This window comes from Homo sapiens, chromosome 1 (assembly GCF_000001405.40).
Source record: "Homo sapiens chromosome 1, GRCh38.p14 Primary Assembly".
NCBI classification, from domain to species: Eukaryota; Metazoa; Chordata; class Mammalia; order Primates; family Hominidae; genus Homo; species Homo sapiens.
In genome coordinates this window covers 32,918,835-32,944,793 of record NC_000001.11, presented here as the reverse complement: position 1 = coordinate 32,944,793, position 25,959 = coordinate 32,918,835, and the positions used below count along the sequence as shown (strand labels likewise).

At 45.7% G+C, this 25,959-nt stretch overlaps 1 protein-coding gene across 7 annotated transcripts in view, besides 3 other annotated features; it reads left to right on the top strand.

Moving 5' to 3' along the window:
* The window catches only part of RNF19B (ring finger protein 19B), a 35,774-nt gene extending 20,016 nt beyond the window's left edge, over nucleotides 1-15,758 (top strand). For 2 of the 7 annotated variants that reach the window (NM_001300826.2, NM_153341.4), the window contains exons 6-9: nucleotides 635-775; nucleotides 2,335-2,542; nucleotides 6,266-6,397; nucleotides 7,535-8,345. In NM_001300826.2, coding sequence (NP_001287755.1) covers nucleotides 635-775; nucleotides 2,335-2,542; nucleotides 6,266-6,397; nucleotides 7,535-7,988 — 935 coding nt within the window. In that variant the 3' untranslated portion in view covers nucleotides 7,989-8,345. Of the gene's footprint in view, nucleotides 1-634; nucleotides 776-2,334; nucleotides 2,543-6,265; nucleotides 6,398-7,484; nucleotides 8,346-10,516 lie in introns of those variants that run through there. The other 5 variants (NM_001127361.3, XM_006710358.4, XM_047445558.1 and 2 more) reach the window with 3 other exon arrangements.
* Nucleotides 10,412-10,706: a silencer, noted in NCBI's record as "tiled region #2329; K562 Repressive non-DNase unmatched - State 8:EnhW". NCBI's record gives its function as "represses a minimal TATA promoter and a strong SV40 promoter by Sharpr-MPRA in K562 cells {active_cell/tissue: K562}" and the evidence as "EXISTENCE:reporter gene assay evidence [ECO:0000049][PMID:27701403]".
* Nucleotides 10,412-10,706: an enhancer, noted in NCBI's record as "tiled region #2329; HepG2 Activating DNase matched - State 5:Enh". NCBI's record gives its function as "activates a minimal TATA promoter and a strong SV40 promoter by Sharpr-MPRA in HepG2 cells {active_cell/tissue: HepG2}" and the evidence as "EXISTENCE:reporter gene assay evidence [ECO:0000049][PMID:27701403]".
* Nucleotides 19,219-19,762: an enhancer, noted in NCBI's record as "H3K4me1 hESC enhancer chr1:33390633-33391176 (GRCh37/hg19 assembly coordinates)". NCBI's record gives its function as "activates a minimal SCP1, AML or CMV promoter by ChIP-STARR-seq in primed H9 embryonic stem cells {active_cell/tissue: H9 hESC(primed)}" and the evidence as "EXISTENCE:reporter gene assay evidence [ECO:0000049][PMID:30033119]".

Genomic DNA, 25,959 nt, shown 5'->3' with positions numbered 1-25,959 from the left:
TGGCGTGAACCTGGGAGGCGGAGCTTGCAGTGAGCCGAGATCGTGCCACTGCACTCCAGCCTGGGCAACAGAGTGAGACTCCGTCTCAAAAAAAAAAAAGAAAGGTGCAGTAATTTTCCCAAGGTCACTTAGCTGGGACATGAATCAAGTTAATCTGCCTTCAGATCCTGTTCTCTTAACAGCTAAGCCATTCTACCTCACACAGCAGTAAGATTTTGGAATTAACATCCTGAGGAGATCCTAAACTCCAAGCAGTAGTCACTTATTTAATATTTGATTCTTGATTGGCTCTTGATTGGGTTAGCATTTCAGCAGTGATTAGAAGAGGGGAAAATGAAAGCAACATATATTTACTGTGCAAAACACAGTACATAGCATTCTCATTTGATTATTGACAACCCTGGGAAGATAGGTCCAAGGTTATACAGCTAGTAAATGGAGCCAAGAATCTAATCCAGACCTTTCTGATTTCTAGCCTGGTCATCATTCTGTTACACCAGGCCACCTTTTTGGGATAGCCACTTTCTGTCTTCCTTTCTTTATAAAGTGGTTTGTCCATGCCCAGACTGGGAAGAAGAATTCAGGGCACTTGCAACCTAATAGCCAGCTGACATGTTTCCTTCTCTTCCCCCAGGTATTGGTGTCCCCATTATGCTGGCATATGTTTATGGGGTTGTGCCCATTTCTCTTTGTCGTGGAGGCGGCTGTGGAGTTAGCACAGCCAACGGAAAAGGAGTGAAAATTGAATTTGATGAAGATGATGGTCCAATCACAGGTAAAAAGCAGGATGTTTATTTCCATTTGAATTTATGATATACAAGATAAAAATCAGTAAAATTCAGCGCATTTTACAGGGAGATTGTCATTGGATTACTTTGGATAATGAGCTTTGTAGGGGGTAAAGTATTTTTAGCTTTTCATTTCTTTGTTCCAAAGTTATTAGGTTAATTCCCCTGGTACTTGCCTCTGTGTGGCAGGTACAAACTAGTAGGAATCCAAGTAACTCCAAGTATGCTGGTAGTAGTAGTGATTATAATAACATCTTTATATCTGCACAGTACTTGATAATTTTCAGAGTATTTTACACAATTATCTCACTTGCTTTTTACAACAAACAGCTCTCTGACGAGGGAGGATGGAGCTGTTATCCCCATTTAAATGGGAATTTCTTTTTTTTTTTTTGAGACGGAGTCTCTGTCACCCAGGCTGGAGTACGATGTCGCGATCTCGGTTCACTGCAACCTCCGCCTCCCAGGTTCAAGTGATTCTCCTGCCTCAGCCTCCTGAGTAGCTGGGACTACAGCAACGTGCCACCACGCCTGGCTAATTTTTTTTTTTTAGTATAGACGGGGTTTGGTGTTTCACCGTGTTAGCCAGGAAGATCTCGATCTCCTCACCCCATGATCCGCCCACCTTGGCCTCCCAAAGTGCTGGGATTACAGGTGTGAGCCACCACATCTGGCCTAAATGGGAATTTCTTTAAGCTTTCATCTTACTATCTATTAAGAGCTTCACAGAGCTGAGACTAGGGCAAGTCTTCTGACTTTTACTTTAATGTGGTTTCTACTCGTAGTAAGTAACGTAGGGCACAAGTAACGTAGAAAACCCCAAAGGTTTTTCTAGCTTCCTTTTTTCTTTTCTTTTTTTTTTTTTGAGACGGAGTCTTGCTCTGTTGCCCAGGCTGGAGTGCAGTGGCATGGTCCTGGCTCACTGCAGGCTCCGGCTCCTGGGTTCGCGTCATTCTCCTGCCTCAGCCTCCCGAGTAGCTGGGACTACAGGCACCCGCCACCACGCCCGGCTAAATTTTTTGTATTTTTAGTAGAGATGGGGTTTCACCGTGTTAGCCAGGATGGTCTCCATCTCCTGACCTCGTGATCCGCCCGCCTCGGCCTCCCAAAGTGCTGGAAGTACAGGCGTGAGCCACCGCGCCCGGCCGGTTTTTCTAGCTTTCTACTAGAAGCTTCCTATTAAAATCAGCACATGACCCAAACATATTTTTTAAATCTTCACGTTTGGTTACATGGAAGCAACAGTGTAGTGGAAAGAATAGTGGCCTTGGAATCAGAGTTATAGTTTCATGTAACTACCATGGCCTTGGACAAGTCATTTAGTTTTAAATTTTAGTTTTCTCATCTAAAATTGAGGCTATTAATGCCTAGTTATTTGGAGGATTAAATATGAACATATGTTAAAACACCTGATATGTGGCGACTGCACACAGTACCTGTTCATTAAGTAAATACATTAGTTCTCTGAAAAGTCATTGCAGGAAAATGCCTACTGACTGTTTTGATGCTCTGCTGTCTTGAATTGGATGTTTGGTTCTATCCCCAGTGGCAGATGCCTGGAGAGCCCTCAAGAATCCCAGCATTGGGGAAAGCAGCATTGAAGGCCTGACTAGTGTATTGAGCACTAGTGGAAGCCCTACAGATGGACTTAGTGTTATGCAAGGTCCTTACAGCGAAACGGCCAGCTTTGCAGCCCTCTCAGGGGGCACGCTGAGTGGCGGCATTCTCTCCAGTGGCAAGGGAAAATATAGCAGGTAAACAAATAGATAATTTCTGACAGAAATGGTTAGAATTATAAGAAGTAACACATTGAGCCATTTCTCTGTGCCAGGCTTGTGCCACGTATCATCTTATTTTGATTTAATTGTCAATGGTTTTGTTTTGTTTTGTTTTTACTTTTTTATTTTTAAAGACAGAGTCTCACTCTGTGGCTCAGGCTGGAGTGCCATGGCGTGATCTCGGCTCACTGCAAGCTCCGCCTCCTGGGTTCAAGCGATTCTCCTGCCTCAGCCTACTGAGTAGCTGGGATTACAGGCACCCGCCACCACGCCCAGCTAATTTTTTGTATTTTTAGTAGAGATGGAGTTTCACCATGTTAGCTAGGATGGTCTCAATCTCCTGACCTCGTGATCCGCCCGCCTTGGCCTCCCAAACCGTTGGGATTACAGGCATGAGTCACTGCGACAGGCCTTTTTTTTTTTACTTTTACAAATAGGAAACAAGCTTAGAAAAAAAGGTTACGTCAGTTATGCAAAGTTCATTGTTCTTTCCATTGCACCATAGCTGCCTCTATATAAAGAATAATCCTGACTTGAGATTCCCCCTTGACTGCCTGAGGCTGCCTGCTTCAGGAAGGGAGAGTAGGCATTTTTATAGAATTCGTAAAATGCTCTCCGTTAGGCTTGTCATTGGCTTTCAGTAGCATTTATGCTGTATCATGGCTTATTTATTTTATTTTATTTTTTTGAGACGGAGTCTTGCTCTGTCGCCCAGGCTGGAGTGCAATGGTGCAATCTTGGCTCGCTGCAGCCTCCACCTCCTGGGTTCTAGTGATTGTCCTGCCTCAGCCTCCCAAGAGGCTGGGACTACAGGCGTGCACCACCATGCCTGGCTAATTTTTGTATTTTCAGTAGAGACAGGGTTTCATGTTGGCCAGGCTGGTCTCAAGCTCCTGACCTTGTGATCCACCCGCCTCAGCCTCCCAAAGTGCTGGGATTACAAGCATGAACCACCACACCCAGCCCATCATGGTTTATTGATAGTGGGCTTTGGGGATTTTTTTTTGTTTTTTTTCTCACTGTGTCATCCAGGCTGGAATGCAGTGGCACAATCATGGCTCACTGCAGCCTCAACTTCCTGGACTCAGGCAATCCTACCACCTCAGCCTCCTGAGTAGCTAGGACTACAAGTGCACACACCACACCCAGCTAACATTTTAAATTTTTTGTAGAGATGGGGTCTTGCTCGGTTACCCAGGCTGGTCTTAAACTCCTGGCCTGAAGCCATCCTCCCAACTTGGCTCCCAACGTGCTAGGATTATAGGCATGAACCATTGCCCCCAGCTGGTTTAGTGATACTGCAATCCTTATTACCTTTCTATTTCCATTTGCTAGATAAGGAAAATCAATTCTATGTACTTGTGTTGAAAATATGTAAAGCTTTGTAACTAAAAAGATTGTGACTTGCTTGGTCATTTCACTAGTTAGGCAGACCAGAGTGTATATTTTCAGAGGAGCATAACATGTTGCCTGAGAAGCAGTTGAATGCAACGGAGAAGAAAGGCCTAGGGAGGGGTAAAGGTAGAACAAAGCAGGATAGGAAGGTAGAGGAGATGGTTGCCTTCAGCTATCCAAAGGACCTTCAACTGTGAAAAGGATTAGACTTCTATGCCTCATACCAAAAGGTAGATTAAGATGACTTGGCAGAAGCTAAAGGGAAACTAATTTTGGTTCAGTATAGAGAATATAGGGAAAAGCAACATGAAAGCCCAAAGAGGAAAAAGGCTACTTTAGTAGATACTGAGCTGCCTATCCCTGGAAATGTTTACAATGAGACCAGATGGCTATTTGGCTATAAGAAGGATTCAAGCAACAGATGGCAGGTGGACTGGATCTCCCACCTGAGTGCCTGTCAATCACTTGGGAGCCTCTTAAAAATAGACTTCAGGGACCCATCCCAGAATGAGTAGCTTAGAATTTCCTGGAGTGGCACCTAGGGGGTGATCCGTGTTTTGCAAAAGCTCCCCAGGTAATTCTAGCACAGCCGTTGCATGAACCAGCATCTGACAACCACCTAAGTAGGAGCCCTTTCTGAAAGACTCTTCCAACTCAGAGTGATTCTGTGGCAGACCTGAAACTAGAAGCCAGGTCTCTGACACTGTGCACTTTCCATTGCATTCCCTCATTTCCCTGGGCCTTGGCACATTTTTGAAGGGCACCTGAAGCTGGAGCAGCAAAGCAAAGGCTCAGGCAGTAGGATGGAAGCTGCTTGAATGTGCAGCTGCAGGCTGCTACTGACCCGTCTGTGCATCTCATGACTCTGGTTGTCTCTTATCAGGGGATCCCGCCCCCACATGCTGGCATATTCACTGCTGTGCTTTCTTAAAACCAACACCCCTGTAAATAAGCAGACAGACATAATTGGAGACTGACTTGCTGAAACTGCAGCTTAGCCAGTCCAGCTGTTCTAGTTCTGTGAAAGCCTTTATTTTATAGGAAGTGAATGAGTCAGATGGGTTTGACTGTGAAACCCATTATAAGGAAATACTTAACTGTGCAACAAAGTGATGTTGGAGCCAAGAAAGGCAATAGTTATGGGCTCTGAGACACTATTGGGAAAGTTTGCTGCTCCAAGAGGAGGGAAGAGGTTGGCTCCTGTATGTCCTTCAGTCTCATTCCCTGGAGGTAATTTGATTGTTAAATGTTTGATTTCCTATTATGTGCAAGGCAGGGAAGGTAAAGTGTGTATGAGTTGTGGTCTCTCCTTTTGTGGAGTTAACAGACAAGTGAGAGATGCATAATAATAAGTAGGCAGGGCCTGCGCACGCCTGTAATCCCAGCACCTTTTTTAGGTGGGTGATCACCTGAGGTTTAGAGTTCAAGACCAGCCTGGCCAACATGGTAAAACCCCATCTCTACTAAAAATACAAAAATTAGCTGGGTGTGGTGGTGGGAACCCATAATCCCAGCTACTTGGGAGGCTGAGGCAGGAGAATCGCTTGAACCTGGGAGGCAGAAGTTGCAGTGAGCCAAGATCGTGCCACTGCACTCCAGCCTGGGTGACAGAGTGAGACTCCCTCTAAAAACAAATAATAATAAATAAGTAGGCAGGTGCTGTGGGAGTACTTAGCAAGAAGTGAATGGTTTGCTGGGATAATGAGGGGAAGTGATAGTTCCTTTGTTGTTAAGGACTGAGTATAAGTTTGTCTGGTAGAGAAAGGAAATTTCTAGAGAGACAGAATAGCATGTGCAAAGTCATGGAAGTATAAAATGTATAGGTATTTAAAGAAAGAAAGAATTCAGAGTGACTATGATTTCGGATCTATAGGGAGTGATAGAACTGGACAGAGAGCTTCCTGGCAGATCAGGAAGACCTTAATGCCTGTTGGCAGTAGGGAGCCAAGAGTTAGAGAATTGTTAGAGTGATTGGGTCTTTATTCACACTGGCACTGTTCTAGAGGTTGTTTGACTTGGACTTAAGGGCTACTGGAGAGGGAGCCCAGTTTTAGTCATCCAGGCAGGAGATGATGAAAACCTGAAGTTCAGCAGTAGCTGTGGGGATAGAAAGGAGGGGACGATTTCAATAGATATTTAAGAGAAAAAATGTATGGGCATCTATTTGCGCTGTTTGACAGTTGGAGAAGATCAGACAGACAACCACAATTTGCAAGAGAGTAATGGAAGAGATGTGTGCCAGGAAGCAGACTGTCTTGGAATACCCAGGTCTCATATTAACTTGAACGTCCCCTCTTTACACAGGTTAGAAGTTCAAGCCGATGTCCAAAAGGAAATTTTCCCCAAAGACACAGCCAGTCTTGGTGCAATTAGTGACAACGCAAGCACTCGTGCTATGGCCGGTTCCATAATCAGTTCCTACAACCCACAGGACAGGTATGTGAACAGTCAGATGTCCAGGAGAGGTTGCATTTTTTCGTTGGGTACTAGGTCTTCAGAAGTTCAATGCCTCATGTTAGGGCTGTATGTACCATCTCCTGGGATATATAGTGTAACCTGTGAATTCATTTGAGCAAGTTCTTGGTACTTGAGTGTTTGGCATCTCTTGATTCTTCTTGTTAGCGCTTGATTTTTAGAGATTTCTTTTCTTTCTTCCTTTTATGTATTTTTTCTTTTTTTTTTTTTTTTTTTTGTCTTTCTTGGCTATTGCAACAGTGTATAATTACATGGAACTTAAAGAGCTAGATTGATGTTCATTGATGTCTTCAAGTCTAGGGTTTCTGCTTGCCCTTTGCTTGATAGGATTCCCATAGCTTCTTTCTCTTTCATTTTGAGAAACTGGTGTATCTGGGATGGTGTGATTGTGGTACTCCCACTAGTAGGTATTCTGGCTTCTTCTACTTGTGGCATGGTAGTAAAAAGCTTTTACTTTTCTATTTTGAGTAAGCTAGCATGGGGCTCTGACCCTTAGTTGAATTTTGGAAGCTCTTTCTGTATGTTTAAAGAGATTGGCTGAGATACACGTGTGTGTGCATCTGAGCACACGTGTGCATGTATAGTTAAATCAGCAAAAAGGATCTAATTACTCTTCTCCATCTCATTTATTTTTATTTTTGTTTTTTTAGAGACAGGGTCTTGCTCTGTCAACCAGGCTGGAGTGCAGTGACACAATCATAACTCACTGCAGCCTTGAACTCCTGGGTTCAAGTGATCTTCCCATCTCAGCCTCCCGAGTAGCTGGGACTACAGGCACGTGCCTCCATGCCCAGCTAATTTTTTTTATTTTAGAAACAGGGTCTGACTTTGTTGCCCTGGCTGGTCTCAAACTCCTGGACTCAGGCAGTCCTCACACCTCGACCTCCCAAAGCGCTGGGGTTATAGGCATGAGCCACCACGTCCAGCCTCCATCTCATTTGAGTGTTAGATTAAAATGTTATTTTTGTTAAAAGTGAGCTCTAGTTAACTGTTCACCTATCTTTTTGAAATTCCTAATCCTGAACCCATGAACTGCTTTTACCAACAGGTTTAGCATGATCCATGCATGACTCAGCAAAGTGGATTTTGTCTCCACAGAGAATGCAACAATATGGAAATCCAAGTGGACATTGAAGCCAAACCAAGCCACTATCAGCTGGTGAGTGGAAGCAGCACGGAGGACTCGCTCCATGTTCATGCTCAGATGGCAGAGAATGAAGAAGAAGGTAGTGGTGGCGGAGGCAGTGAAGAGGATCCCCCCTGCAGACACCAAAGCTGTGAACAGAAAGACTGCCTGGCCAGCAAACCTTGGGACATCAGCCTGGCCCAGCCTGAAAGCATCCGCAGTGACCTAGAGAGTTCTGATGCACAGTCAGACGATGTGCCAGACATCACCTCAGATGAGTGTGGCTCCCCCCGCTCCCATACTGCAGCCTGCCCCTCGACCCCCAGAGCCCAAGGTGCACCGAGCCCAAGTGCCCATATGAACCTCTCTGCCCTAGCCGAGGGACAAACTGTCTTGAAGCCAGAAGGTGGAGAAGCCAGAGTATGAAGTGGAATGAATGCTCCTGTTCTGAGAAGCACACTTGTAACTGCATCTTTTGGAATTTTTTTTTTTTTTTTTCCAAGGGGTAGAGATTTATGTATTTTATTTCACAGATTCTCTGGTCACAGGTTTTTGCCCAGGGAAATTCTGAGAAATTCACAATTTCTTACCAGATAAAACATGAAAAGTTTGCCGTTAGTTCCCCTCCCCTCCCCTCCCTCTTTTTAGTTTTAATTTATTGGTTAAACTGATGGCAGCAATCCATGAGGTGTGTCAAAGAGTGTACATATGTATGTGTGTATATTGAATGCTAAACATATTACTGAAAGACACATTTTAATAAAGATTTCTGTCATAATTCAACTTACCTCATTTTCCTTGGCTTGGATAGTCCCACAGAGCCAAGTGTTTGAAACAAAGCACCATCTTTGACAGTCTCTAGACCTGAATTTTTCTAATCCAAGGGAAGAAGGATTGTATTCAAATCCAACCGCAGTAGTCATCTATAAACCTATGACTCCTAGCATGACAGGAAGCAAAGCTAGGCTTGTTTTGGACTTTGTAGTCAGGCTGAAGAATTATTAGCTGAGTCAGCTGAATAGGGAAGCAGTAGATTAAAACTAACTTTGTTTGCCCTCTAGAAGCAACTGTGCAATTTACTCTTAAAACTTTGCCCTTTTCTGCATTATAGTCACTAGTAGTCATATGCTTCAGAGGAGAGAAGGAGTGGCAGTCCCAGGTAGCTCTTAAGAGAATTCTCAGTGGTCAGGCATGGTGGCTCACGCCTGTAATCCCAGCACTTTGGGAGGCCGAGGCAGGTGGATCATTTGAGGCCAGCTGTTTGAGACCCACCTGGCCAACATGGTGAAACCACGCCTCTATTAAAAGTACAAAAATTAGCCAGGCGGTAGTTGCGCACGCCTGTAATCCCAGCTACTCAGGGGGCTGTGGCAGGAGAAGCGCTTGAGCCTGGGGAGGCAGAGGTTGCAGGGAGCCGACATCACTGCAACTCCAGACTGGGTGGCAGAGACCCTGTCTCAAAAAAAAAAGAGTTCTCAGTGAATGTTGCATGGTTACAAGTTGGAGAACAGAATATTCTGTTATTGGAGGAAGAAATACACTGATGCGCATAATCACAAAGCAATGACATAGGTGTTTGCTGTGTTCTCAGGTATACCACTCCGTGTTCTGATAAACTTTCTCAGTTTTGCTAATCTGGTTTAAATAAAAGGGACTAAAATCTGAGATTTGTAATGAAAGGAGGGGGTATGCCCTCAAAATCTCTGAACATATTTATCTGATCTTACAAATTTGTCAAAATTGAGCTAAGTTTGTACTACTTGGAGTTTTGCCTCTGTGTAAAATAATGTCCTGGCCGGGCACAGTGGCTCACGCCTGTAATCCCAGCACTTTGGGAGGCTGAGGCAGGTGGATCACCTGAGGTCAGGAGTTCGAGACCAGCCTGGCCAACATGGTGAAACCCCCGTTTCTACTAAAAATACAGAAGTTAGCCAGGCCTGGTGGCATGTGTCTGTAATTCCAGCTACTCGGGAGGCTGAGGCAGGAGAATCGCTTGAACCTGGGAGGTGCTGGTTGCAGTGAGCTGACATCACCCACTGCACTGCAGCCTGGGAGGCAGAGGGAGACTCCATCTCAAAAATAAAATAAAAAATAAAATAATGGGCTGGGCGCAGTGGTTCACACCTGCAATCCCAGCACTTTGGGAGGCCAAGGCGGGTGAATCACGAGGTCAGGAGATCAAGACCATCCTGGCCAACATGGTGAAACCCCGTCTCTACTAAAAATACAAAAATTAGCTGGGCGTGGTGGCGCACACCTGTAGTCCAGCTACTCGGGAGGCTGAGGCAGGAGAATCACTTGAACTCGGGAGGCGGATGTTGCAGTGAGCCGAGATCGCGCCTTTGCACTCCAGCCTGGGTGACAGAGTGAGACTCCGTCTGACAAAATAAAATAATGTCCTTAGAAGTGAAAGCTTATATACAGTATAGCAAGAAAATTAGAAGACTCGTGAAACCTGATGTCAGATTCCAAATCTTAGAGTGACTTACTTTGTATGAGTCAGTTTCATGCCCCTAACTTCCCCAACTTTCAGATCTTATTTATGTATTTAGAGACGGAGTCTGGCTCTGTCCCCCAGACTGGAGTGCAGTGGCATGATTTTGGCACACTGCAACCTCAGCCTCCCGGGTTCAAGTGATTCTCAAGTCTCAGACTCCCAAGTAGCTGGGATTACAGGTGCATGCCACCACACCCGGCTAATTTTTGTATTTTTAGTAGAGATGGGGTTTTGCCATTTTGGCCAGGCTGGTCTAGAACTCCTGACTCAAGTGATTCCCCCCACCTCAGCCTCCTAAAGTGCTGGGATTACAGGCATGAGCCACCTCGCCCGGCCCTCAGATTGCATTTAAAGAGCTTCCAGTGTCAGACCTCTCTCACCTTAGTCCTGGGCCCAGAGGAAAAATTGAAATCCTCCTTTCCCTGAAGACCAGATGACTTTCTGTTTCCTTTCACAGATGCACTTTTGTCTTCCTGGCCAGTGTTTTACTACAATGAGGATGGCAAGTCTGGACAACAGCCAGCTTAGAAGATTCTTATCTCTTGGGCACTGCAGCCAGACTTCACACATTTCCCTGCACCTAGGACAGGAAATGCTGTTAGTGGACTTTGGATTTCTGGAAGAATGTTCCCTGAAGGGGGCGTGTACTTGTGTGAAAAAGAGAACTTGTTGGAAAAAGAGGCAGACAGCCTGGAGATCTCTGAAACGCAAATTATCAACTCAAAACTTGGAATTCTCTTGAAGCCTCGAGAGAACAATTCACTTCTTTGATAAAATCAAAGAAGTCTGTTGGAGGGGCAGTAGTTTATGGCTAAACCTATATTTCTTATCTGGGTTCCACTTACTACAGCTGTGAGATTTGGGCAGTTTACTCTGAGTCTGTTTTCACTTAGCCAAAATGGAGATGATGATCCTAGTTAAGGGGTTGTGAAGACTGAGATGGTATACTGAAAATGTTTTTGGTAAAGGCCCATGTTTTTTCCTCCTGCAGGAAGAAGAAGAAATGAGTTAAAGGAGATTTTAGATATCATATAAGAAAGGAAGCCTAGACCTCTAGGCCAGAGGCTATGAAAAATTTAAATTTATTCTAATCCTTAGCGACACTTTAGTAGATGAAAAGGCCCATCATCACCACCTAGAGGCGAACACAAATAATGCATTAGAAAAGTTACAATAGCTTGGCCGGGCGTGGTGGCTCATGCCTGTAATCCCAGCACTTTGGGAGGCTGAGGCGGGCGGCTCACAAGGTCGGGAGATCGAGACCATCCTGGCTAACACGGGTGAAACCCCGTCTCTACTAAAAATACACAAAATTAGCCGGGCGTAGTGGTGGGCGCCTGTAGTCCCAGCAACTCGAGAGGCTGAGGCAGGAGAATGGCGTGAACCCGGGAGGCAAAGCTTGCAGTGAGCTGAGATTGCGCCACTGCACTCCAGCCTGGGCAACAGAGCGAGACTCCGTCTCACAAAAAAAAAAAAATAATAATAATAGCTTAGAAAATGGAGAAAGTTTAATTTCCTCTTCATACAGCCTTCATTCATTCTGAAATACCTACCGCATTTCAGGTATAAGATGTAGCAATGACTAAAATACAAAGTTCCTGTCCCCATGGAACTTAGACTCTTAACGGGGGAAGGCAATCAGATATATAACCTGGAGTGAGGATAAGTAATCTGTGAAGAAAAACAGGGAAGACAGAGTGGTAGATAGTGCTACTTGACATGACCAGGTTGGTCCTCCTTGATAAGGTTCCATTTTATTAGAGACTTTAATGGAGCAAGGAAGAGAACTATGTGAATATCTAGGGGAAGCACATACCAGACATGAGGAATAAACTACAAAGGCCCTTTGGTAGAGCATCCTTAGTCTGTTTCCAAAAAAGCATAGTATAGAGGCCTATATGGCTGGAACAAAGTGGACCAAGGTGGGGAGAGTAGTGGATTAGGTCAAAGACAGCTGGAGCAAGATTGTGTAGATTAGCCAAACAACTCTGAAGACAAGGAAATTTTAGATTTCTTTGGGCCAGGAGGAGGTAATCTTCAGCGCCAGACAGATGCAGTGCTTGCGGCCAGCTTTCAAAAAGGTTGAAACTGGGAGGGGCATGTCTGATCACTAGTACTACTTGGACAGGCCAATGTGAAGAAGCTTGTGGATATGGTAAATGAATACTCATTTATGCTCACCTAATGTACCTTCGTATGCTGCAGAGGCTGGAAAACTAAAAACTTCATGTCTTAGATTTCCTTGAAACCAAGGTTCTGAATGTAACCTAAGGTCAAGTTTTGCCAGTTAGATGCACAAACAAGATGTGGAAGGAGGAGTGATTCAGGGGTTATCTTTAGCTACTTTGGCTATTGCTCCTGCAAGATGTAGAGACCTTAGGTTTCTCTTTAACTGCATTCTAATAGCCATCAGTAGCTTTGTGGGTGTTGAAGGGTGTCTGGATCCATAGATAGCAGTTTGCGATATGTTTTCTTGTAGTCAACCTGTAGTGGCCTCCTAATTGCTCATCTCCCCTATGGTGGCAGAGGTAGCAGCTCACATGGAAGGCTAATTCCAGGTCTGGGAATCGCCTGGAGGCCCAGCCTATGGCCATGTTCCCCAGGCTTTCCAGTGCTTTTGTAAGCACCTAATTTACCTGTGTTGAATCCTTTTCCACTTAAAATTGGTAGAGGAGTATTGTTTCCTGCAGTTACTGAATCCTGGCTAATATAGTATTTGGTTCCAAAAGTGGTTACTAGTAACAGGCCCTCAAAGATGGGCTTCTTAGATTAGTTATGACTAAGCTGCATTTGAATGAAATGTAGATCTAGTCACCATTGGAAAATGATAAACTGGTAGGCAAATTGCTTACACCTGTGGTCACCTGAAATGAAATGTCTTTTGGAGAAAAGACGTTGGCACCTCAAAGGGCTGCCATGATAGATCATCATGTAAGAAATGGGGACAAATGATGGTGACTACACTAGAGGGGTTAAAGGAAAAAGACAAAAAGCTCAAAAGTTTGACATTTGCAGCTCAAGGCATAGTATGGGAGAGACCCAAAAGAATTTTATCTTTTGTAGCCGCAAGGCTCATGTACATCAAAATCAAAGGGAGATTCTGGATCACTGAATTACATACAACATAAGTTGAATTCGTAGCTTTACCAGGCCTCTTATGTGAAAATGGGGCTCTGAAATGAGCAATGGGGACCCTTGAGTGGATTTGGATAAATCCTAGTGCTGTCAACTCACAAACTCTACTTCTTTTAACCAGCAGAAGCAGCCATTCTTCCCCTTATAGATATGGCTGGTTCTGCTGCTTGAAGACCCTGGGGTAGTTGTCTTAAAGGGGAATACTAATACTTCTCGTGTCCCACCCCCTACCCCTCCTTGCTACCAGCTCTAACTAGAGTCAGATCCCAGTATGCTTCTGGAAGGCAAACCCAAAGTCTGATCTGAGAGACTTACAGAAGAATTGTAAGACTTTGCTAATTTGTATCAGCAGAAACAAGGGGAAAATGTGTAGAGTATATTCCAAAGATGTTGGACCAGGAAGATAGGAATATACATTTATTTTCATTTGCATTGAATTTATCAATATGGGGGTACTAGAGGTTCTGGACTCAGCATATTGGCTTTAGCAGCTAAGAATTTTTTTTTTTTTGGAGACAGAGTCTTGCTCTGTTGCCTACGCTGGAGTGCAGAGGCGCAATCTCGGCTCACTGCAACCTCTGCTTCCCAGGTTCAAGCAATCCTCCCACCTCAGCCTCCCAAGTAGCTGGAATTACAGGCTCATGCCAGCACACCTGGCTACTTTTTGTATTTTTACTAGAGGTGGGGTTTCACCATGTTGGCCAGGCTGGTCTTGAACTCCCGACCTCAAGTGATCTGCCCACCTTGGCCTCCCAAAGTGCTGGGATTACAGGCGTGAGCCACTGCGACCGGCCAAGAATGGCTCTTAACAGGTTGTTGGATGAAACCTGGACTTAAAAGTGGCCTATACAGAGATGGCAAAAATTCCTTAGTGTAGAATTAGAAGAATCAAGGCCAGGTGTTGTGGCTGATGCTTGTAATCCCAGCACTCTGGGAGGCTGAGGTGGGAGGACTGCTTGAGGCCAGGAGTTTGAAACTAGCCTGGGCAATATAGTGAGACCCCATCTCTACAAAAAGTTAAAAAATTAGCTGGGCATGGTGGTGTGTGCCTGTATAGTTCCAGCTACTCAGGAGGCTGAAGTGGGAGGATTCCTTGAACTCAGGGATTTGAGGCTGCAGTGAACTATGATCGTGCCACTGCACTCCAGCCTGGGCAACAGAGCTAGACCCCATCTCAAAAAAAAAAAATCAGCCGGGCATGGTGGCTCATACCTGTAATCCCGGAACATTGGGAGGCCGAGGCGGATGGATCACTTGAGGCCAGGAGTTCCAGACCAGCCTGGCCAATATGGTGAAGCCCTGTCTCTACTAAAAATACAAAAACTAGCTGGGCATGGTGGTGTGCATCTGTAGTCCCAGCTACTCAGAAGGCTGAGGCATGAGAATCTCTTGAACCCAGGAGGCAGAGGTTGCAGTGAGCTGAGATCATGCCACTGCACTCCAGCCTGGGTGACAGAGCAAGACTCTGTCTCAAATAATAACTTAAAAACATGATACTAAAAACATTGATTTGTAGATTTATCATATGTGTGACCTACTTACCTCCTAATTTTGCCCTTCAAAATTGCCAAGAGGTTATTTCTTTCAGCAAGGAATTGAAAAGTACTTTAAACAAGGGAAACACCTTATCTTGAAAAGTTTGTAGTGTGTACCTTCCCTAGGCTGGAAATGAAGCTAAGAGATGTTACCATTGTAAAGGAATCCCTGATATCAGTAGAGATGATGGGATCCTGCAGTGCCAGTGGCCAAGGGGTAGTACCAAGGCAACAGAGCTGTAGTGATGAAATACATGGGTTACCTACCAAGGTTCTATTTGGCTTATAGAACGCAAAACAAATCTTCAGGTCTGGCAAATAGAGGCCTGTTTTGAGTCACCAAAATGGAGATTTACAGACAATTCTCAGAGCTGAAGCCCTTGAAAAAGGGGGTGCAGGGTACTCTGGAGGAAGCACCCAGCAATACCACCATAACTATATCATAAATCTTCTCGTTTTCCCCAAAGGGATCTTAAGCCATGTAACTATGCATGTGTGCTTAGGGAAATGGAAATGCCCAGGCCTTTAGGGATTACTTGGAAACTGGCCCTAAGCCAGCACAAATGCTGAGACCTAAAAAGCCTTTGTGGTCCACTAGTTAGAATAGAGGCTTCCATGGTGTTATGGGTCGAATTGTGTCCCTTCCACCAAAAATCATATGTTGAAGTCCTAGCCCCTAGTACCTCAAAATGTGCCCTTATTTGGAAAATGAGGTTGTTGCAGATATAATTAAGATGAGGTCTTATTGGCATAGGGTGGCCCCCTAATTCGATTGTTGTACATATAAAAAGGGGAAATCTGAACACAAAGACATGCACATAGGCTAAGTACCATGTGAAGATGAAGGCAGAGACTGGGGTGATGCAGCAGAGGCCAAGGGACACCAAGGATTGCCAGCAAACCATCAGAAGCTGGGAGCGGCAAGGAACAGATCCTCCCCCACAGCCCGCGGAAGGAACCAATTCTGCCAAAATCTAGGACTTCTAGCTTCCTGAACTGTGAGACAATAAATTTCTGTTACTTAAGTCACCCAGTTTATGGTACTTTGTTATGGGAGCCCTAGCAAACTAATATACGGGGGTCAGGTGATAAAAAGGAGTTCTGGCCTGCATCGATCTCACGTACTCATTACCAGTTCCTTTAGGCACAGTTGTAGTAGACGCACTCGGCGACTGGTAGAATCTGCACATTGAGTGACTCATGGAGTGAAAGCTGTTGTGGTAAGAAGAGCAAAGGGAACCCTTGAAATTGCCCTTTCCCACCAAAAACATAAACCAAAAGCGATAGTGCATCCCTAAGGGAATGATGGATATTAGTGTCCGCATCAAAGACAGAAATTTCAGGAATGATGGCTCCTATCATATCCACATTTAATTTACTTGTTTGGCCTATGCAGGACTTGATTTTTAGCTGTTATTTTAGATATAATCTCTTTATGAAGCAAATCAACACCTGCCCCGGCCCCTACAGTCGTGCAACTGAATATGAGTACTGACCTGGAATATGCTTTTTTCTCTAGCCCAAATAGCAGAAAACATCAAAAACAGATTACTTTCACCTGTCAGGGTCAACAGTACATTACACTGTCCTGCATCTGGGTTATATCACCCTTGCAGCTCTGTTGCAGTCTAATCTGCAGGCACTTTAATCATCTCACATCTCCCAGAACATTGTTCTACATGTCTGGAATCTTGCAAGCAAGAAGTAGCAGGTATCCAAATGCCCTGGTAAAACATGTGTTCTAAGGATAGGAGATAATCCCTGTGGAAATTAAGAGAATGTCTACCTCCGTGATTTGGGTCACCCCACCAGATAAAGAACTTAATCCAGTTCATATACTGGCTGAGGAAGAAGGATCATGGACTGGATGGTGGAGAAAGAAATATATATAAATAGAAACAACTAACTCATGAAAAGCTGAGAAACGGGCACTATATTAGCATTTCATATTTTCTTCCTTGCTCTATTGTGTTAATTTATAGATATTAACTCATTTTCCCCTCCCATATTTTCCCTAGTATAATGAAATGTATTACTGTTGGTAACTTGTTAATTTAGTGTTTAGATTATATGCTGTTATGGTAGAATTGTAACTGAACTAGAATGATAATCACCCAGGGTGGATCAGCTAGCTATGTGACTGATGGGATTTGGGGTCTCTTATTTTAAGGAGCGGATTTAGGTCCCTAAAAGTCCAAAAAGATAGACTGTGTAGACATGGTGAACTGACTTTCAACATCCATTCCAAACACTTCCTCATACTGCAGAGGCTGCAAAGATAAAAACTATTTCCCAGACTCCCATGCAGCTAACATTCCGCATACAAGTTGGAGTCTACCCCATCAATGGATGAAAAAATAAAGAAAATGTATTTATAAATGATGGAATACTATTCAGCCTTGAAAAAGAAAGAAATTCTGTTATTTGCAACAACATGGATGGAGCTGGAGAACATTATGCTAAGTGAAATAAGCCAGGCACAGACTAATACCACGTTACCACTTGCATGTAGAATCTAAAACAATTGAATCCATAGAAACAAAGTAGAATGGTGGTTACCAGAGGCTGAGGGCTGAGGGGAATAGGGAAAATGATGGTCAAAGGGTACAAGACCTCAGGAGGAATACGTTTGTTTGTTTGTTTGTTTGTTTGTTTGTTTTGAGATCTATTGCACAGCATGGTGAATATAGTTAATAATAGTTGATAGAGTTTGGATATTTGTGCCCATATAAATCTCAGGTTGAATTGTAATCCCCAGTGCTGGAGATGGGGCCTGGTGGGAAGTGATTGGATCATGGGGTGGATCTTTCACGGATTGATGCTGTCCTCACAATAGTGAGTCTAGAGATCTGGTTGACTGAAAGTGTGTGGCACCTCCCCCACCTCTCTATTTCTCTGGCTTTCACCAGTATTAAGTGCTCTGCCTTCCACCATGAATAAAAGCTTCCTGAGGCCTCCCCAGAAGCCAAGCAGATGCCAGGTACCATGCTTGCACAGCCTACAGAACCATGAGCCAATTAAACCTGTTTTCTTTATAAATTATCCAGTCTCAGGTATTCCTTTATAGTAATTTGAGAATGGCCTAATACAATAGTATATGATTGTACATTTCAAATGTACATCATTTGAAGAGTAAATTTCAAATGTTCTTGTGATACCGTAACTTGTATTAAGTTGATTGACTCTCTCTTAGCTGAGAAAGCGAGATGGACTCCATTTGGCTCCTTCCTTTGCAAGACATCAAGGGCTCCTTACCCACCCCCTTCCTCAAGGACTTGTGCAAGCTGACTCTCAGCATATCAAAGAGTGCAATTAACTGATAAGGTACTGTGGCAAGCTATGTCCGCGATTCCCAGGAATTCGCCCAGGTGATGGTACCCTAAAGCCCCTGCATTTGTGTCCAGCAGATAGCACCCAGAGCCCCCGCACCTATCAGCTTGTGATGAATTTAAAACCCCTGCACCTGGAACTGTTTGTTTTCCTGTAACCATTTGTCTTTTTAACTTTTTTTTTTTTTTTTTTTTTTTTTTTTGCCTGTTTTACTTCTGTAAGATTGCTACAGCTAGGCTCCCCGTCCCCTCTCTAAACCAAAGTGTAAAAGAAAATCTAGCCCCTTCTTCGGGGCCGAGAGAATTTTGAGCTCTAGCCATCTCTCGGTCGCCATGTAATAAAAGACTCCTGAATTAGTTTCAAAATGTGGTGTTTCTCTATAACTCGCTTGGTTACAACATTTGGAGGCCCCAGCGAGAAATTCGCCCCTGGGTGAGAGCCCGACTCGTTCCAGGCTCCCCCGGACAGACGGCGGACTTACAGGGGAGGCGCCACCTGAAGACGTTCCAGGGCCCCATAAGACCCTATCTTCCGGAGGGGAACGGATCGACCACCGGTGTGTGCCCACAAAAAATTCAACTCCTAAGTCCTCAGTTTCTAGTCCCGGGAAGGTAAGTCAGATCTGACTCTGTTTCTCTGGGAGGGAAGTGGCTCTGATGAAGGCCGTCCCTTTTTGACTCTGCTCGCATTCCAGGACGCTGGAGGACGGAGTCCTGGTTTTCTGTTAGGCGCCTCTGTGTCTCTCTGAGAGGGAAGCAGCCCTGACGAGGGCCCTCCCGTGACTCTGTCCATATTCTAGGACGCTGGAGGACTGAGTCCTGGTTTCTGGCAGGCCAGCCTCTCCGTTAAGTCTAGGCTGTCTGTCTCTCTCTCTCTCTCTTCTCTCTCTCGCTCTCTCTCTTTCTCTCTCTCTCCTCTCTCTCCCTCCCTCCCTCTTTCTCTATCTCTTCTTCTTTCAGGTCTCCTGGAGACCTCTGTTTTAGAACGGGAATTAAAAAAAAAAACCTGTTGTAAACTCTGTGTGAATCAGTGCATGTATGTGGAGTTCAAGGGCTTGCGCTTGAATTTCCAGTTTGTAGCTCCACCGTGAAAGCTACGGAATTCGAGAGGGCCCTCACCTACTGTTCCGTGGCGACCTCATACGGCTTAAGGCAGCATCTGGCATAGCTCCATCTGAGCCGGGGGTTTATACCGGTCTGCCAATGCGAAGAGGAGCCTAAGTCCCCTCAGGGGGAGCAGCCAGGCGGGCATCTGACTGATCCCATCACGGGACCCCCTCCCCTTGTCTGTCTATAAAAATTGTCATAATTGTTTATATACCCCAGTGTCTATTGTCTTGTTTAGTGTCTATTGTCCTGTCTGGTGTCTGTCTAAGTTTCTTATGTCTGGTCGTTGATATTGCCCAAGACGACTGGGCAAGGACTTCTTCAAAGTCCTGAGTGCAGATTTTCTAACACAGGAGGTCTCAGGCGTGTCTCTTCGGGTTGCCGGGCCCAGGGGCCAGGCGCGCCTCCACCAGTTTACACAACAGCCTCCTTTCCCTCGGCAGAGGCTCCCCGACCTGCAGGCGAGGAGTGGGAGGGGACGGCGCAGGACCCCCTCCCCCAGGGACCCCCGCGGGCGCCTGACTCCTGCGCCTTCAGGGGTCAAAACCCCTGACATCCCTGAGCACCAGCGCGTCCACACCCGGCTCGGAACGCAGGGGCCCGGCCTGCTGTGGTGACCTTAGCCCCGGGCTGGGCTTCTGAGCCGGGCTTGCAGTGCCTGACGGGGCCTGGAGGCGGGGCGGGGGACCACAGAGTCGTCCTGGCGACACAGGGGACCCAGCGCTGCCCGGCACAGCTCCTCCCAGCCTCAGAAGATCCGAGTGGCCCCTTTCCTCCACATCCCCATCCCTTACCCCGCACATCTCGTTTTCCTGTGTCACAGCAAGTCCAGCGCCCCCAAGATTTGGCTCTACTCTCCCTTTTTAAACCCTTAAAAGAAAAGGCCAAGTTTGAACTTTTTGCCTCCCAGTCGTGGAGACACCAAAAATATTTAGGCTATAGGTCAAGGAGGAGTGAGGGATCACATTGGTCCCACTGACCTCGGACCTGCCTCTTGTCCTCCCCCTAGATCTCAAAGCTTAAAGAGACAGTCCTTATGTGGCAAGAAGTGTTGGACTATAGTTGTTTTCCTGCTTCTTCTGGTTATAATACTTCTGTTCTTCCGATACTACAGCCCCCCAGGTTGTAAATTTCTCTGTCCGTGCTGGGTTTAATATTTCTTCTCAAACCTTGTTAAATTGCCTCTAGAATGAGAAACTCTTCTTCCCGGCCTCGTAAAGATTGGAGCCCTCTCCAATGTATGTTACAAAATTTCTCTCTAGGCTTCTCAGAGGATTATGGGGTCTACCTTAAAAAAGGCAAACTCCGGACACTCTGTGAAGTAGAATGGCCAAAGTTTGGAGCCGGGTGGCCCCCAGAAGGGTCACTGAACCTCGCAATTGTCCAGGCTGTGTGGCGGGTAGTTGCTGGAACTCCCAGTCACCCCGATCGGTTTCCCTACATTGATCAATGGCTGAGTTTGGTCCGGAGCCCTCCTCCATGGCTCCGCTCATGAACCATTCATAATTCTACCTCCAAGGTCCTTTTGAGCCAAACCTCACTTTCGCCTCGACTCTCAGCCAGCTTGGCTCCTCCTGTATTGCCTCCTTCTGAAGAAGAGGAAAGTCTCCCTCACCCAGTTCCGCCGCCTTATAACCCTCCTGCTCGCTTACAATATTCCCTTGTCTCCTCGACTATGTCCCCTGTGGGCTGTCCGCCCATCGCCTCCCAACTGGGGCCATGGCAGAAGGAGGTAGCCCCCTCCTCCCGCTGAGGCACAAATCGCTCTGGGTGATGAGCACTATCTAATTCCGGGACACTTCCATCACTCCAAAAAGAAACCTATTGGCAATCAGTCCTAACTACCCCTTCTCCCCAGCCCCAGAACCACTAATCTAATACTTTCTCTATAAATCTTCCTATTCTGGACATTTTGTATAAATGGAATCATACAATGTGTAGCCTTTTGTGTCTGGTTTCTACTTAGCAAGTGTTTTTCAAAGTTCATCCATGTCGTAGCATGTATCAGTACTTCGTTTTGTGGCTGAATAATATTTCATTGTTTTGTTTTTGTTTTTGTTTTTTGAGACGGAGTCTCGCTCTGTTGCCCAGGCTGGAGTGCAGTGGCACCATCTCTACTCACGGCAACTTCGTCCTCCCCAGTTCAAGTGATTCTCCTGCCTCAGCTTCCTGAGTAGCTGGGACTACAGGTGCGTGCCACCATGCCCAGCTAATATTTGTATTTTTAGTAGACACAGGGTTTCACCCTATTGGCCAGTCTGGTCTCGAACACCTGACCTCAAGTGATCCACCTGCTTCGGCCTCCCAAAGTGCTGGGATTACAGGCAAGAGCCGCTGTGCCTGGCCTGAATAATATTTCATTGTATATTGCATGGATATTGTATGGATATACCACATTTTGTTTATCCCTCAATTCATGGACATTTAGGTTGTTTCCGCTTTTTGGCTGTTGTACATAATGCTGCTATAAATATTGGTGCTCAAATCCTTGCTTTCAATTCTTTTGGGAATATACCCAGAAATGGGATTGCTGGGTCCTGTGTTAATTCTACGTTTAGCTTTTTGAGGAGCTGCCACACTTTTTTCTACAGCAGCTGCACCATTTTACCTACCAGCAACACACAAGGGTTCCAATTTCTCCACATCCTCCAACCGCTGCTTTCTCCTGGGGTTCCTAAGCTGAGAAGATGTAAGCATGGATATTTCTTTTTGTCTGTTTTATTATAGCCATCCTAGTAAGTATGAAGTGATATTTCATTGTGGTTTTGATTCATGTTTCCCTTATGACATGTTGGTGGGCATCTTTTTCTGTGTTCATTGGCCACGTGTATGTCTTCTTAGAAGAAATGTCTCTTTGAATCCTCTCCCCACTTTTTTTTGTTTGTTTGTTTCTGTTTTTGTCTTTGTTTTGAGACGGAATCTCGCTCTGTCACCCAGGATGGAGTGCAGCAGTGCAATCTTGGCTCACTGCAAGCTCCGCCTCCTGGGTTCACACCATTCTCCTGCCTCAGCCTCCCAAGCAGCTGGGACTACAAGCACCCGCCACCACCCCCGGCTAATTTTTTGTATTTTTAGTAGAGACGGGGTTTCACCATGTTAGCCAGGATGGTCTCGATCTCCTGACCTTGTGATCCGCCCACCTCAGCCTCCCAAAGTGTTGGGATTACAGGCATGAGCCACCGCGCCCGGCCACCTTTCCCCACTTTTTAACTGGGTTATTTGTCTTTGTTGTTGTGTTGTAAGACTTTATATATTCTGGATGTAAGTCCCTGAACAGATATATAATTTGCAAATATTTTCTCCCATCTGTGGGCAGTCTTTTCACCTGGTGTGTTCTTCAGTGCAACAATTCTAGTAGTCATTTCCTGACTCATCACCTTCCCAATTGTGCCAGAGTTAGTAGCTATTCTGGGGCCCAATTTGCAGAGTCTGATTCTGGGAGTTATTCCTGAAAACATCCTAGAGCCCACTCCTCCAGTCCTTCCAACTATTTTTTTTTTTTTGAGATGGAGTCTTGCTGGAGTGCAGTGGTGCATTCTCAGCTCACTACAACCTCTACCACCCGGGTTCAAGCGATTCTCCTGCCTCAGCCTTCCAAGTAGCTCAGACTACAGGTGCCCACCACCACACCCAGCTAATTTTTGTATTTTTAGTAGAGACAGGGTTTCACCATGTTGGCCAGGCTGGTCTCAAACTCCTGACCTCAAGTGATCTGCCCGCCTCAGCCTCCCAAAGTGCTGGGATTACAGTTGTGAGCCACAACGCCAAGCCCAACTATTCTTTTTACTTCCCGCCCCCAAGCTTTTTTTTTTTCTTTTTTTTTTTTGAGACAGAGTCTTGCTCTGTCTCCCAGGCTGGAGTGCAATGGTGCGATCTCGGCTCACTGCAACCTCCACCTCCCAGGCTCAAGTGATTCTCCTGCCTCAGCCTCCTGAGTAGCTGGGATTACAGTCACCCACCATCATGCCCAGATAATTTTTGTATTTTTGTAGGGATGGGGTTTCACCATGTTGGCCGGGCTGGTCTTGAACTCCTGACCTCAGGTGATCCACCCGCCTCAGCCTCCCAAAGTGTTGGGGATTACAGGCATGAGCCACTGCACCTGGCCCCATTTTTTTAAGCGTCTGGTTCCCTGTATTAAATCCCTTTCTGCTCGATTAGAGTGACTTCTGTTTCCTGTGACTGATCCCCGATGATAAATAGCACCATGGGATACAGTGTCCTCAAAGAGAGGCTATGGCATGTCATTTTGTTAGAGCTGATGTGCGGCCAAACTATAATAATAATATACTCCTAGAAAGCCAGAATTGAAAGCACCTTTGAGATCGACCAGTCCAACGCCTTCATTCGACAAAGAAGGAAACGAAGGCACAAGGAGGAAGACATAAAAACCACGAGGCCGAGTGCCTACAGCTCCCTCAGTCGCCTCCTGAGGCCAGTGGACCTGAGCTGACCTGGCTTCATGAAATCACTGTGATCTAGGTCACGTAAGTCCAATGAGGCCAGCCCTGCCAACCTCACTGTAGCTGACTGGACACAGGATTTGGGCCCGAGCCATTTGCTGCCTTGGACAAGCTGGATGTGATGGAGGCCAATGCCTGTGTGAGACTGTCTGGTATGGGAGACATCGATGCTGGGAACATGCCCAGAGGGCATGGGGCCAGAGCACAAGTCTATCCCAGTTCCTGTTCTCCGGGGACTTGCTGGACGCTGCTGAGAGGGCTTCCCCAATAACCTCACTTCCTCTGTGTCCTTATTGTAGCCACCATCACTGAAAGTCCTCTGAGCCTGGCTCTTCCTTGCATACCTAAAGGAGCTCGAGAACATACCCAAACGTGGCCCTTGATTTTTCTGGGAATCACATAGCTAGATCAAAAAAAGAAGTAGCCGGCACAGTGGCTCATGCCTGGGATTACCCAGCATTTTGGGAGGCTGAGGCGGGCCTTGGAGATCAGGAGTTCAAGACCAGCCTGGCCAACATGGTGAAACCCCGCCTCTACTAAAAATACAAAAATTAGCTGGGTTTGGTGGTGCACGCCTGTAATCCCGGCTACTCGGGAGGCTGAGGTAGGAGAATCGCTTGAACCCGGAGGTTGCAGTGAACTGAGATTGAGGCACAGTACTCCAACCTGGGCAACAGAGTGAGACTCTGTCTCAAACAAACAAACAAAAAAGAACGAGTTTCCTTCTCAAAAGGGATGGTCTTCAGAATGAGAAGATATAAAATGCCTGTTCCAAAACAGATGGCTGATAAATATCAGTCTTCTCCTCCCCTTCCTTGCTGTGCGGTTTCAGTCCTCTGAGGCCACATGTGACATCACTCTGAGATGTTACAAGGCTAAAGAACACAACCAAAGCAAACCTGAATTGCCTGGAATTCCAAATGAGTAGAGACTGCTTTCTCCTGGGGTTCCTAAGCTGAGAAGATGTAAGCATGAATCTTCCAGAGAACAGAGACTACCTAATATTGCAACTCACAGAGGAATGTGGAGCTGAGAAATTGAAAAAGAAAGAGAAAGAAACACCATTTGATTACACTAGATGACATCATTTTAATGCCAGGATCTAACCATGCCTAAAGCCCCTGAACGTTTCAGTAACATAATCCAACAAATGTCTTTCCCCTTATCCAAAGCCCATTTCAGTTAGGATTCTGTCATCTGTAACTAAAGAAGTTGACTAATACAGGAAGTGGGATACTCCTAGTGCTGGCCCCTCACACTTGGAGTTGGCTGAGTTGAGGTGGGTTATAGAATGGTGAGGATTTCCCAATCCCAGGCTGGGAGGCGGGTGTACCCTGAGATGCAGCTGCACATCCAGAGTGTCCTGAAACTCAGATCATGCACCCAGCAGAGGTGGGAACTTTAGAGGGCTTCACAGAAATACGTCAATGTGCTGGCTATTTTCCCAAATCTTCAATTCAGAGTCCAGAAATAGACAAATTTTGCAGAGAAAATAATAATAAAAGCTAACATTTGGCCTGGCACGGTGGCTCACACCTGTAATCCCAGCACTTTAGGAGGCGAGGTGGGTGGATCACGAGGTCAGGAGATCAAGACTATCCTGGCCAACATGGTGAAACCCCATCTCTACTAAAAATACAAAAAATTAGCTGGGCGTGGCGGCACGTGCCTGTAGTCCCAGCTACTCAGGAGGCTGAGGTAGGAGAATCGCTTGAACTAGGGAGTCAGAGGTTGCGGTGAGCCGAGATCGCGCCACTGCATTCCAGCAGCCTGGCGACAGAGCAAGACTCCGTCTAAAAAAAAAAAGCTAACATTTATGAGACACTCACTATGTGCCAGACACTATATTAAGACCTTTACACATATTAATTCATTTATTATTTTTCTTTTCTTTTTAAATAAAATGAGATGGGGGTCTCGCTGTGTTGGCCAGGCTGGTCTCAAACTCCTGAGCTCAAGTAATCCTCCCACCTCGGCCTCCCAAAGTGCTGGGATTACAGGCGTGAGCCACCATACCCGGCCCATGTAATCCTTAAAATAACATAAATAAGTGGGTACTATTTTATTTTCCATTTTACATTTGAGGAACTGAAGCACAGAATAATTGCCCAAAGTCTTACAGCTAGATGGCCGTTGAGCTATGAACTTGAATCCAGGCAGCCTGGCCCCTGAGCTTGTGCTCCCACAGCTCTGCTCAGAGAGGCTGCCCATAGCCAACAATCCAAGCTGATTCAGTGTCCGATGATCGTGTGCTTTGCAGGACTGAAAATGCTCATCTTGGCCAGCCACGGTGGCTCATGCTTGTAATCTCAGCACTTTGGGAGGCCAAGG